The 13,332-nt window shown below is 37.0% G+C and overlaps 1 protein-coding gene across 1 annotated transcript in view; it reads right to left on the reverse strand.

Moving 5' to 3' along the window:
* The window catches only part of TMPRSS11D (transmembrane serine protease 11D), a 63,127-nt gene extending 61,837 nt beyond the window's left edge, over positions 1 to 1,290 (reverse strand). Inside the window, exon 1 of the mRNA NM_004262.3 lies at positions 1,214 to 1,290. Within this exon, the coding sequence (NP_004253.1) occupies positions 1,214 to 1,221 (8 nt within the window). The 5' untranslated portion in view covers positions 1,222 to 1,290. The remainder of the gene's footprint in view (positions 1 to 1,213) is intronic.
* Positions 1,291 to 13,332: the final 12,042 nt, after the last annotated feature.

Here is a 13,332-nt window from a genome sequence, read left to right on the forward strand (position 1 = left end):
TAGATGGTTTAAGAACAATAAAAAATATAATTCATAAACTCACTGCTTTAGTATAACAAACCTGATTAATGTTCTATGTTCTTTATTAGACTTTCTCCCATGTATAGCTTTACAAAGTAGTAGTTGATGAGTAAATACAATTTTGTGATTTGTTTTTTTCACATAAAATAAGAACAAACTCAGTATGTAAATTACTTCATAGGTTTTTAAGCTACTTTAATACATTTCTTGTATCTATTACATGAATATGAAATGATTTTATTTCTTCTATCATTGGAAGCTTAGACAGCTATCCACTTTTCACTCATATATATATATTCAAGTGCATATAACTGTATATATATTTTTATTACTTAAAATGGTTTGACTTTTGATTGAATTTTCCAATGTTCAGGAGATTTAAAATAAATTCAGCTGCACTTATTATAGCTAACACATTGTTCATGCTTTTGTTGATCCTTTCAGCATGACTTATCAGTATCATGTTTTCCTGTAGTCATAGAAAAATAATATGCATAATATATACACTTAAGTGCACACATAAACATACCAAGTTACATAATTATTTCATTGTTTTGAGATGTTAACGTGTGACTTGATTATCTCACAACTTTTTTCTTTCTTTATGTGAAAGTATAGGAAAATACTTATTCATTAACTAAAAAGAAAACCAGAGAGAGATTATTTTCTCTTAAATGTTAGCAAGAACTTTCTTGAAAATAATTCTACAACTATATAAAAAGTAGAAAAATACCGTCTTTACTTTCTAAAAGTGTACTTTAGGATTTATGGCATATTTATTTAATAGCTAGCAATAAAACTGTAATGGAAGTCAAAACACAGAATCCTCGAAAAGTTCCAAACAACACAAGAATTGTTTACTGATTGCAATTTTAAAATCCACACACCACTTTTCGAAATGTTGCACATGAGAAACAAAACCACTTCCTTATTTAAAGATATGTTGTCATAACGCTAAGCTAAGTATTTTTGTGGTTGTTTTATAAAAAATTCAGTTAAGCAACTATGTACCTTATGAAAATAATATCAAGCATATTATCTAAACAATATCTAAGAGTTTCGATGAAGTTTTCAGAGAAGTAACTAGAAGATTGCTAGACACAGTCAAAATTTGCTAAGCTTCTTTATATTTTTCCCATACTGTAAGATATAGTAAAACTTTTAAAGCTACAAAGACAAAAACAGGACTTACCTATACATTTTAATCCTTAATGAAGAGGTTCTTTTTTCTGCCTACTCAACTGCTTTGAGATTCCCACTCAAATGAATGACTCTCATGTATTACGTGTGATCTATAGTTGAGGACAAAGGAGGAAATCTCATGTTAATTAAAATCTAACTTGTTAAACAAGTTTGAGGGAATCAACAAACCAATAGTATGACTTGTGGAAGATAATTGGAAATAGACAGGGAATTTCACAAATTAGTAAGAAATTTATTTATTCTGGTAAATTGAGATTAAACACAATTACAATTGACAGGTATTTTGTGAAAGCCTGTGACTACTTCACAACTGTAGAGTCACTTTTAGTTCAAGAGGATTTGACACTTATTTTGCTCATGTTATCATATTGTTATACACCTCATTCCTCAACACAGCCAGCCAAGATCCATCAGAACATACTTTCCGTACATTAATGGGCACTACCTCTGAATTCCCTCATCTGTATGATTAAATGCAGTTTTTCTCATAATATATGAAACAGAGCATAATTGAGTAGATGCACAAAGTAAGACAAGCAAACAGAATAGTTGGAACTAAAATCCACTTTGTTTTTTTCCAAATATGATCATTTGAAAAAGCTATTCTAACACACTACTACTAGAAGAGGAGCAGACAGAAGAAGACAGTATGAGTGTGTAGGGTGTTAGGGTAAGGATGGAGAGCTCAAGAAAACAGGCAAGACTAGCAGGGAGGGGAAAAAGGGCATTCCTGTCTAACATTGCAAAGAAGCAGGATATAAATTTGGAAGGTTATACTGGGGTTACTTTGTGAGAACTAATGAATGCTAAAGAATTGGAACTTGTAATAGAATTATTACAATATTATTAGTAGTACAATATGAATTCTAGTCTTAGCTTTTTCACCAACTAATTGTGTAGCTTAAGGGAAAAAATTTACTTATTTCTCCATAAGTCACATGTATCTACTAAGAAAAGTGGAAGCTGAATCAGGAGGTCTTAGAGGACTCTCAATTATAAAATTCTATGACTTCATCTTGTAAAGCACTGACAACTAATGGTTAAATTTACTCCAATACTGCAACTTCAGATGTGTTCAGTTACTTGACTTTTTCTATATAATGTGCAAATCAAACAACAGAGACAGGAATAAGTGGTTACTTATATGTTTTTTCCCAAATATATTTGGGAAATATATTTTTTACATACAGTATCTCATGCCTGACATTCTGCCATTGATTTTTTAGCAATAAATAAATAACTATAATAAGATTTAAAAGTTTAAAAAATAAAGTTACCTAAACAAACCATTTTTAAATTTTACATGTTAACTTCAAGTACCTTTAAATATAGTTATATCATGGTATATAATTTTGTATTATGCTTTTTATACTTAATATTATTTCACAAATATATCGCTATTACTAATTTTTATTTTTAGTAGCTATATATTTATAACTTTGTATTTTTATATAATTTAAAACACAAATATGGTACCAAGATTCATTAATTATTAGCAGTTTTAATGGTTGCATTTTAAAAGGTAAATCACATTACATTGAATGGACTTATCATAAAGCACCAAAGTTATTTTCTAATGTGAAGTATTTAGACATTTTCTATTTTTTTATTGTAGATGATTCTTTGAATGACCACCTTCACAAACATAGTTTTTCTTTGTCATCCTACAGTTGAATTTTTCTTCAGAATAAACTGAAGAGGCTTATTGAGCCAAGTGATTTAAATATTTTAATGGCTTATAAAATTATACTTTTGTTTTAATAATTTTTACTAGGATTTAAAGTGTTATTTTCTGTTTTTTGCTTACAGAAATTTTCTCTAATTATGCATGCTCTTTCTTGTATGTCTTTATTTCCTGGAATACTCAGCAGCAAAGGCCTTTTTACCACGTAGGTACTTACTCATCATATGTTGTTTAGATGTCTCATAATTAACGTATTAGTGCAGATCCCAGTGCCCTATTACTATTCACAACAGAACGTGGGGATGAGTCGGGGGAAAGGCATGGGGAAAATTGAATTCAGTCTGAAAGTGACTTCCCGCATGATGAGCTCAACGCAGAAAGGGAGGTGGGGCAGGAAATTATGGTTTGTGAGGCAAAGGAATTGTTCATAACAGGGACCAGTTTAAAGATGTTGACTCTTCATCTTTAGATCCTCAGGGAGTGGCAGGATAGGCCTTGACCTATTCTCTTTTTAAGAGATTGCATGAATGAGAAATGTAGAATCACGTTATACAAAAAATATAAGAGTCCTCTGCCTTCTGGTTACAGGCTGATTTTATTCTTCTGGTTGAACAGTCACAAAACCAAGGCAGCTAGACTGAGAACGAATGACAGGAACAGTTTTCAGGGACATAGCAGAGATCATTTATATTTCTGGAAGATGAACTATGCAATGTAAGAACTATTAAGATTGGTTCTTTTGCCTGCTGATGGAGAGAGAGTGTGGTTAAGAGACCCATGAAATCTTAAACTCTGGACATATTTCCCTGCAAATGTGTATTAACACACTTCGTTTAGAAGGAAGTATGAATCATTCAATGTAACCGTCATAACAATATTAGCAGAAAAAAACAACCAAAAAGCAGATGACCTGAGAAGGTGTGGGCCAGTAGTGTTTTTCTGAATTTGAAGTTTGTTTAGTCGTCAAGTCCAGGAAAGCACAGTCATATGGCTATGGTAGACAATATATTCGTCATGACCTCCCTCACAGAGTTACTGTAAAAATAGAAAAAAAAAAAAAAGATAATGGAGGTGCTCACCATATGAAAGCTATAAATGTTGTTTAAATGCAAGTATTTATATTTGTTATAAATGTAAATTTTAAAATTGGGTAATAATTGGATTTTGCAAGTGTGGCTAAATATAATTTTGTGGCTTATGACATGCAGGTAGTTGGAGGCAAAGGTACAAGTACATTCTATCATTTTTCAAAGGCATTTGTCTATTCAGAAGGCATGATGTAGTAGAAACAGTATTCTCCTTGGAGTTAGAGTACACTTTAAGTAAAATCTTGACTCTTCTCTTTACTACCCAGCAAGGTCAGGAAAATTATTTATCTCTGTAAGCCTGAGAGTTTTTTTAACATGTAAAAATTGAGTTAAAATACCATTCTCATAGAGTTGCAAAAACTACATTTAGTCAAATCAAATCAAATGAACTAATAAATGTAAAGCACTTGTCATGTTCAGTAGTTCGTAGAGTACTTGTTCCCAAGGCAGTGTGTGTGTGTGTGTGTGTGTTTGTGTGTGTGTGTGTAGGGGAGAGCTCATACAATTTGAAACTGGTCCTGGATGTTTCCAAAATACTGCCCCCACCCCCGCCCCGCTTAGATTGGCATGTTCTTTTGCTTCTACAAATTGGTCTTATTCCTAAAGCATTCATACAAACATGGTTTAAGAAATACAACACTCATTACAACCTGTGATGGCTTTCATGTTGACAGTTATTTTCTTATGTTTTCTACAAGTAATTTTTTTTTACCTGCACTTAACCATAGGAGGCCAAAGAAACATCTTGACTAGAGGCATTCTTTAATCTTGTTAAAGAAAGAAGTGTGGTTACTGTAGCCTTGTAGTATAGTTTGAAGTCAGGTAGTGTGATGCCTCCAGCTTTGTTCTTTTGGCTTAGGATTGACTTGGCGATGCGGGCTCTTTTTTGGTTCCATATGAACTTTAAAGTAGTTTTTTCCAATTCTGTGAAGAAAGTCATTGGTAGCTTGATGGGGATGGCATTGAATCTGTAAATTACCTTGGGCAGTATGGCCATTTTCACGATATTGATTCTTCCTACCCATGAGCATGGAATGTTCTTCCATTTGTTTGTGTCCTCTTTTATTTCCTTGAGCAGTGGTTTGTAGTTCTCCTTGAAGAGGTCCTTTATGTCCCTTGTAAGTTGGATTCCTAAGTATTTTATTCTCTTTGAAGCAATTGTGAATGGGAGTTCACTCATGATTTGGCTCTCTGTTTGTCTGTTGTTGGTGTATAAGAATGCTTGTGATTTTTGTACATTGATTTTGTATCCTGAGACTTTGCTGAAGTTGCTTATCAGCTTAAGGAGATTTTGGGCTGAGACAATGCATGGTACTGGTACCAAAACAGAGATATAGATCAATGGAACAGAACAGAGCCCTCAGAAATAATGCCGCATATCTACAACTATCTGATCTTTGACAAACCTGAGAAAAACAAGCAATGGGGAAAGGATTCCCTATTTAATAAATGGTGCTGGGAAAACTGGCTAGCCATATGTAGAAAGCTGAAACTGGATCCCTTCCTTACACCTTATACAAAAATCAATTCAAGATGGATTAAAGATTTAAACGTTAGACCTAAAACCATAAAAACCCTAGAAGAAAACCTAGGCATTACCATTCAGGACATAGGCGTGGGCAAGGACTTCATGTCCAAAACACCAAAAGCAATGGCAACAAAAGCCAAAATTGACAAATGGGATCTAATTAAACTAAAGAGCTTCTGCACAGCAAAAGAAACTACCATCAGAGTGAACAGGCAACCTACAACATGGGAGAAAATTTTCGCAACCTACTCATCTGACAAAGGGCTAATATCCAGAATCTACAATGAACTCAAACAAATTTACAAGAAAAAAACAAACAACCCCATCAAAAAGTGGGCGAAGGACATGAACAGACACTTCTCAAAAGAAGACATTTATGCAGCCAAAAGACACATGAAAAAATGCTCATCATCACTGGCCATCAGAGAAATGCAAATCAAAACCACTATGAGATATCATCTCACACCAGTTAGAATGGCAATCATTAAAAAGTCAGGAAAAAACAGGTGCTGGAGAGGATGTGGAGAAATAGGAACACTTTTACACTGTTGGTGGGACTGTAAACTAGTTCAACCATTGTGGAAGTCAGTGTGGCGATTCCTCAGGGATCTAGAACTAGAAATACCATTTGACCCAGCCATCCCATTACTGGGTATATACCCAAAGGACTATAAATCATGCTGCTATAAAGACACATGCACACGTATGTTTATTGCGGCATTATTCACAATAGCAAAGACTTGGAACCAACCCAAATGTCCAACAATGATAGACTGGATTAAGAAAATGTGGCACATATACACCATGGAATACTATGCAGCCATAAAAAATGATGAGTTCATGTCCTTTGTAGGGACATGGATGAAATTGGAAACCATCATTCTCAGTAAACTATCGCAAGAACAAAAAACCAGACACCGCATATTCTCACGCATAGGTGGGAATTGAACAATGAGATCACATGGACACAGGAAGGGGAATATCACACTCTGGGGACTGTGGTGGGGTCGGGGGAGGGGGGAGGGATAGCATTGGGAGATATACCTAATGCTAGATGACACGTTAGTGGGTGCAGCGCACCAGCATGGCACATGTATACATATGTAACTAACCTGCACAATGTGCACATGTACCCTAAAACTTAAAGTATAATAAAAAAAAAACATTAAAAAAAAAAGAAATGAAAAAAAAAAATAAAATAAGAAAGAAGTGTGTATCCTTTACCCCTCTCCTAAGTTCTCTGCATCAGTCCCCTTTGAGCTGCATAGAGTTGTTTTCTTATATGATGAGTAATTTTCACTTTCCTGCATGCATTCACAAATTTTACTCTTGTAATTTTCCTCCACAATGAGAAAAGCAATCAGAGCACATAAATATAATACATTTAGTATGCAACATCATACATTATTTCACCTACTGGAGGGTCTGGCTGATAAACTCTGTTATTAAAGAGATACTACTATGTATTAAAATAGATACTACATAGTATCTATTTTAAGAATTATTACATTATAAATTTATGACTATTGGTCTTAGCTGGCCCTTCAATACTGCCTAGCAATACAGCTAGGTTTCCCTGGTCAATGTCAAGCATAGGGTTTATTAAAACCATTTCAAATCTTTCTACTCTTCCCCAGTATGAATTTTCCATTCCTTATTCACTGCACTTGCTTTCAACAGATGACTTACCTTTCTACTATTGGAAAAACAAAAGAGAAGCCTTCAGATGGACACTCCCTCCACTTCCTGCTATCATGTCTACAGATCTGTACCCATCTGCCCATATTCTTCCTGTTTTAGCAGAAGAGGTTTTCTCATCCCTTGGGAGCCTAATCTTTTCATTGTGCTCTGTATTCACGTCTTCTTCTTTCGTTTTTCTAAACCTGTTTCTCCAGTATTCCCTATTTCCACAAGTCCACTCCCATTCACCCAGTTTTGAATCCCAGAAACCTAACAAACTAAGGTGTCATCCTTGACTGTATCTCTTTTCTTGGTGCCCTATATACATAAATATTTATTGAACCAATTTCTTTCCCTCTCATCCTCACTGCCACCACATGACTCCAGGCCACTGTAATCATTAGCTTGATTACTGTCACAGCCTTCTGATTAGCCCTTCTGCCTCTAATCCTTTTCCCACTCTGGTTTACTCAGCTGCAAGAATGATGATTACAAATTGAATTATGTTACTATTCTTTTAAAAACTCTTCAATAGCTTCCCGTACACTTAAGATAGAATCTGTTCTCCTTAACATGGGTGGCAACGCTCTGTAGTATCTGGCCCTTGCCCACCTTTCATGCTTATTCCCACCATACCTCTGATACTCTACACTCTATCCATTGAATTTCTTTTAGTTACTTTAATATGCTGTCTCTCTATCCCTTCCAGTTCTGTTCCTTTAGCTTGGATTATCTTTTCCTACCTCTTTCAATAATTTTTTTTCTTAGTTCCGAAATCAGAATGATCACTAAGGCCTACTTGTAGGCTTTTTCTCTTTGGGTAGGTTGGTTCCTCTGCAGTGTGATCCAACATCAGTTTACTTCTCCTCTTATACTCATTACAACACTCAGTATACTTTTTTATTTTATTTTATTTTGAGACAGGGTCTCACTCCGTTGCCTATGCAGGAGTGCATTGGCATGATTGTGTCTCACTGTAGCCTTGAACTCCTGGGCTCAAGCAATCTTCCCACCTTGGCCTCCCTAGTAGCTGGGACTACAGGTGTGCACAACCATGCTCAGCTAATATTTTAATTTTTGGTAGAGATGGGGTCTTGCTATATTGCCTAAGTTGGTCTTAAACTTTTGGCCTCAAGCAATCCTCCTGCCTTGGCCTCCCAAAGTGCTGGGATTATAGAAGTGAGCCACTGTGCCTGGCCTCAGCACACTTTTTTGAAATTTGTCTACACAGTAGACAATAGAGTCCACAAAAGAAAGGATTGCTATGTTCTCAGAGCCTGTCATCCCTATGTGGCATGGGGTTAATCATTCATTTAATAATTTAAATAATTTATATAAATTACTCAAATAATTTATTTGAATAATTTTTGAATTATTCAGTGAGTAAATAAAACGTCACTGCTTTCTGCATACTGCAACTGTGTTTCAGCTGTTACAAAATTCACTCTTATAGCAGACATGGAGATATCCTTCAGATCCTTCTTCAAGATAAAGCTTGGTGCTTAACTGCAAAGAGTATGAGTATCTGTCTTTTAACTGTAGATTTGTTTTTTATTTTGGTATGGTGAGGCTAAGCAATCAGGAGAAGATTGTCAATGAAAAGACAGTTTGTTACTCACAATTCCCAAGAGGAGGGTGCACACCATGCCACACAGTGAAGCACCAGGGTCACTCAGAAGGAAAGGGGTGAAAAAGGTACTATAAGGAAGAGCCTTTATCATTGTTTCTGTGGTAAGGAACAGGTGGGATAAGGTAAGCAGGCTTAGGATTGGCTAGTTTGAATAATTTCAGGGGCTCTCAGGTGTAGGGGCTGTCATTAGTTGCATGATACCTGGCCCTGGAGTAATTAGGGCAAGGCCCTAATAGTGGCTTGGAGTATAAGGGCTCCATAAGGCAGGTGGTAAGGGTTGGCTTGCATGTGACAGGCTAGTCCTAAGCAGTCATTTACTATCTTTAGGAATTAGTTAGCCCTGGGTGGGGCAGTCCCTCCAGGGTCAATAAGGCTGCAGATGTGAAAGCATCAGAAAAAAAAGGACATGCTTAGTACAACCTGACAGTCTAACTGATAGGTTTGTCAGGGCCTTCCTCAGCTTTCAAGCCAAGAACATGTTCTTTTCCCAGTGGCCCCCAAGCCAATGATTGAGCAAGGTGATGATACAAGAGTCTAGCTATTTCCACTCAATATGGATTTCTCTAACAAGTAGTATTTATTTCAGAGTTCCCTGTTGGCCTGGGAGAAATTTTGTCAGATTGTCACTGCTGTCTGACAGCTGCCCCTGCCCAGTCCTGCTTCTTTCCTTCTTCTTTAACAGGTGTTACTTTTCAATAAACTTTTGTACTTTAACTTTGTGTAAGTATTTGCTGTGCTGAAACCCAGCTTGTAATAGCTGATACCAAGACAACTCCAGGAAAACAGGCATCAAGATGAGATTTAGGGACTGGATTATTCACTACCCAACTGGAAATGAGGTAGGTGGCAAGCTGGCAACCTCTAACAAGAGGTGGTAGTCTGTTGAAATTTTCATTAGTAGTGAGGTAGGCCAGCATGCTAGTAGAGGTGAATGCACAAGCCAGTGTGATGATTCACATATTGAAAGGTATGGGGGCTGGGGTGATAAACATAACGAGATGAAATTGCATGGTTGCTACTTGGTTGTTTTATGCCCAACGGGTAGATAAGGAAAAGCTGAGGACAATGAACATAATTGAAAAAGCTGAGTATGTGATCCAGAGACTCCTTTTGGTAGATTATTAAGAAGCCCTAACCTTATTAGTGGGTGAGCAGGAAAAGATGAATACCAAGCACAGAGTTGGATAGAGTGGCTGAATTTCAATGATGGTTAAATGCTCAATTGAAATAGATCTGCTCTTCCGAAGTCAAGGCTCTAGTTAAGAAAACCTGGGACCTGATGCATGGGATGTGGACATCTAGCTAGATGTCCTTGAAGGTTTTGACTCTGCAGACTTCTTTTGAACCCATGGCCTTGCAGAAGTGGCCCCACTTTCTTCAACGAGAGCTGGCACTGTGAAGAGATACTGGGGAGGCCTTTTCCCCACAAGGCAATAGCTCACAAATTAGGAGCTGTGTGCCTCTCCTCTCCTGGTCACCGGGCCTATCAAAGTTAAGCTGGTTATTATCATTACCAGCTGGGAATGTGTCAGGCCTGAAGAGGGAGGAAAGAATCTACATCCCAAAGGTGCTGCATAAAGTAGCCAGCAGGCAGCAGCAGAGACTGTAGGAGTGCCCTCTGTGGGAATGGATCTTGAGGGTGCTTGGTCAAGGGGATTGGAACATAAGACTGGATAAGGAAAGTTTTGTTAATTTGGGAGTAGTCTCTCAGTATACAGGATTTAACACCTGACACGGTGCCCAGGGAATGGTGTAAACTTGCTGTTGGAGTGGCTCTTAGGAGTCTGGAAAAAGTGATGGCCCATGCTGAGCAAGGTTGAAATGCTAGGATTGTTATGGGAGGCAGTAGGGGAAGGGATTAAAGGATTCAGAGAAATGGACATGGTGTAATGTATAATATTATGTGATGCCAGAAGACCCATTAGAAAATTATATCCCCTGGGAAAGTCCAGATAATAAATGAAGACCATTAGGAATATGCTGGTGAGAGGGGCACTAGTAGGGGATCAGTTTGTCTCATTTTGCCTGGGACAATCCAGGCTTTGAAATGGAAAGTATAGCATCCTGGAAACCTCCTCAATCCTAGGCAAACTGGCAAAGTCACCTTAGAGCAGTATCATTAAGTGCTGGCAGGATAGGCACACAAATGATATGGCCACAGTGGGCAAGATGGAGGTCCTGCCTAGGCCCAACAGTAAGGACTCCCACTTACCAACAACGATGTAACAAATGCCTCCTCAGAATGCCAACCTGTCGTCAACATAAACACTACACCTACTGGATAGCTCTGTTACTCAAGGGGGCCAACTGGACAGTCAGTGGCAAGTTAGCTATATGGAATGCCTTCTATCCTGGAAGGACCAGCCATTTCTTCTCACAGGAATAGAAATCTATTCCAGGTATGGGTTTGTCTTGCCTGCCTAGAGGGCCTTAGCCAACAGCACTAACTGGGTTGTTGGAAACATTCTAACTGTGTAGATACCTTACAATTGAAGGGAGCCTCCCTTGTCTCCCAGAGATTTTTTTTAAATAACTAATTTTTTTTTTTTGAGATGGAGTCTCACTCTGTCGCCCACGCTGGAGTGCAGTGGCGCGATCTCCGCTCACTGCAAGCTCTGCCTCCTGGGTTCACTCCAGTCTCCTGTCTCAGCCTCCCGAGTAGCTGGGACTACAGGCGCCTGCCACGACGCCCGGCTAATTTTTTGTATTTTTTGGTAGAGACGGGGTTTCACCACGTTAGCCCAGATGGTCTGGATCTCCTGACCTTGTGATCCGCCCACCTCGGCCTCCCAAAGTGCTGGGATTACAGGCGTGAGCCACCGCGCCAGGCCTTTCATTGTGGTTGTTGTAAGTCATTAAAAATATATTGTCCTGCTCATTTGGAAGTGAAATAAATAAATTATTTTCACTTTTTTAACATGTAGAGACAAATTCCAAAGAAGTCACAGGTTTTTTGTTTGTTTTGCTTTGTTTTCTGCTATGAAATATGTTCTTTTCAGGTTATGACTAAGTATAATTTGAGTGTGACATAGAGTTGATTTTTTTTCCAGTGTCATAACATTTATACCTATCTTTTCATCTTAAAGGAATTCTTGAGCAGTAATAAGGCTGTATAATATAGTGGAAGGAAATCAATTATAATCTTTTAAAAGTCAGAGACATTGTCTTATTGTGTATTGATGTAGCTATATGGTAATATTTTAAAGTAGTTATTTTGGAAAAAAATATCTGTAACTGTGCAGTGTTGTAGTTTAAGGGCCTTAGAAACCATGGTATGAATTCTTATGGTGAGTTCCCCTTTTAGGAACCTAATAGGAACACAAACCAGGCCTCTGGCAAAGATGCTGCTTCGCTGGAGAGGAAGAACAAGAAGTGTGGAAGATAAAATTACATTAAGTTTTGACATAAAAACTGTTTTGTTGCCTTTTGTTTTTAGATGTTTTAAAGGAAGCATTTGTCTGTTTAAAATAGAGTGATTAGACTCTAACAAATAATAATAGTAAATGATAAGTAGTAAAAAGTCTCCCACCAAGGGAGGGAAGTACCTGGAAATATTTACTAAGGTTTCAGTTGCTCTGAGGATGAGTGTGTATTGGGGGAATAAAATATAGATGATTAGGAAGTTCTCAAGAAAATATAAAAAATAAATGGTAGAAAGAAATGTAATAGAAATATAATGTTGATTTTGCCAATATACATGAATTGTTTCAACAGAAATAGTAAGAGACAATAATTCTTCTAATGGTTTTTAAAAGAAGATGCAGTTAGCAGATAACTATGCATTAGCAGATACATAACTAAAACAAAAAAAAAGTTAAGGGTAAGAGGAAGAACAAAAACAGCAGATTACTACACAGACACAGTATAGGTAGAAGTCCAGAGCAACAACATTAATACAGATAAGAAGTACAATTTGTATTGATAAAAAGTACACAAAAATGCAACATTTTAAAAATGAGAAAAACAATGTAACACACGAGATAAGAAATGCTAACATTATGTGAAACTATGATAAAAATAGTGAATCTTAAGAAAATAATTTTATGAAACATAAAAATTATTGAAATTCATTAAAGAAGTAGGAAACTTGAAGTGAAAAATAACCATGGAAGAATGGAAAACATTATATACAATTTTTTTTTTCTAAAATGATCTGGACTCATAATGTTTCCAGAAATAGTTATTTCCTATTGTGTCCGGAATTGGTGGGTTCTTGGTCTCACTGAATTCAAGAACGAAGCTGTGGACCCTCGCGGTGAGTGTTACAGTTCTTAAAGGCCGCGTGTCCAGAATTTGTTCCTTCTGATGTTCACATGTGTTCGGAGTTTCTTCTCTCTGGTGGGTTTGTGGTCTCGCTGGCTCAGGAGTGAAGCTGCAGACCTTCCCAGTAAGTGTTACAGCTCATAAAGGAAGTGTGAACCCAAAGAGTGAACGGCAGCAAGATTTATTGCAAAGGGCAAAACAAAACACCTCCCACACTGTGGAAGGTTACCAGAGC

Source organism: Homo sapiens, chromosome 4 (genome assembly GCF_000001405.40).
Source record: "Homo sapiens chromosome 4, GRCh38.p14 Primary Assembly".
Lineage (NCBI taxonomy): Eukaryota > Metazoa > Chordata > Mammalia > Primates > Hominidae > Homo > Homo sapiens.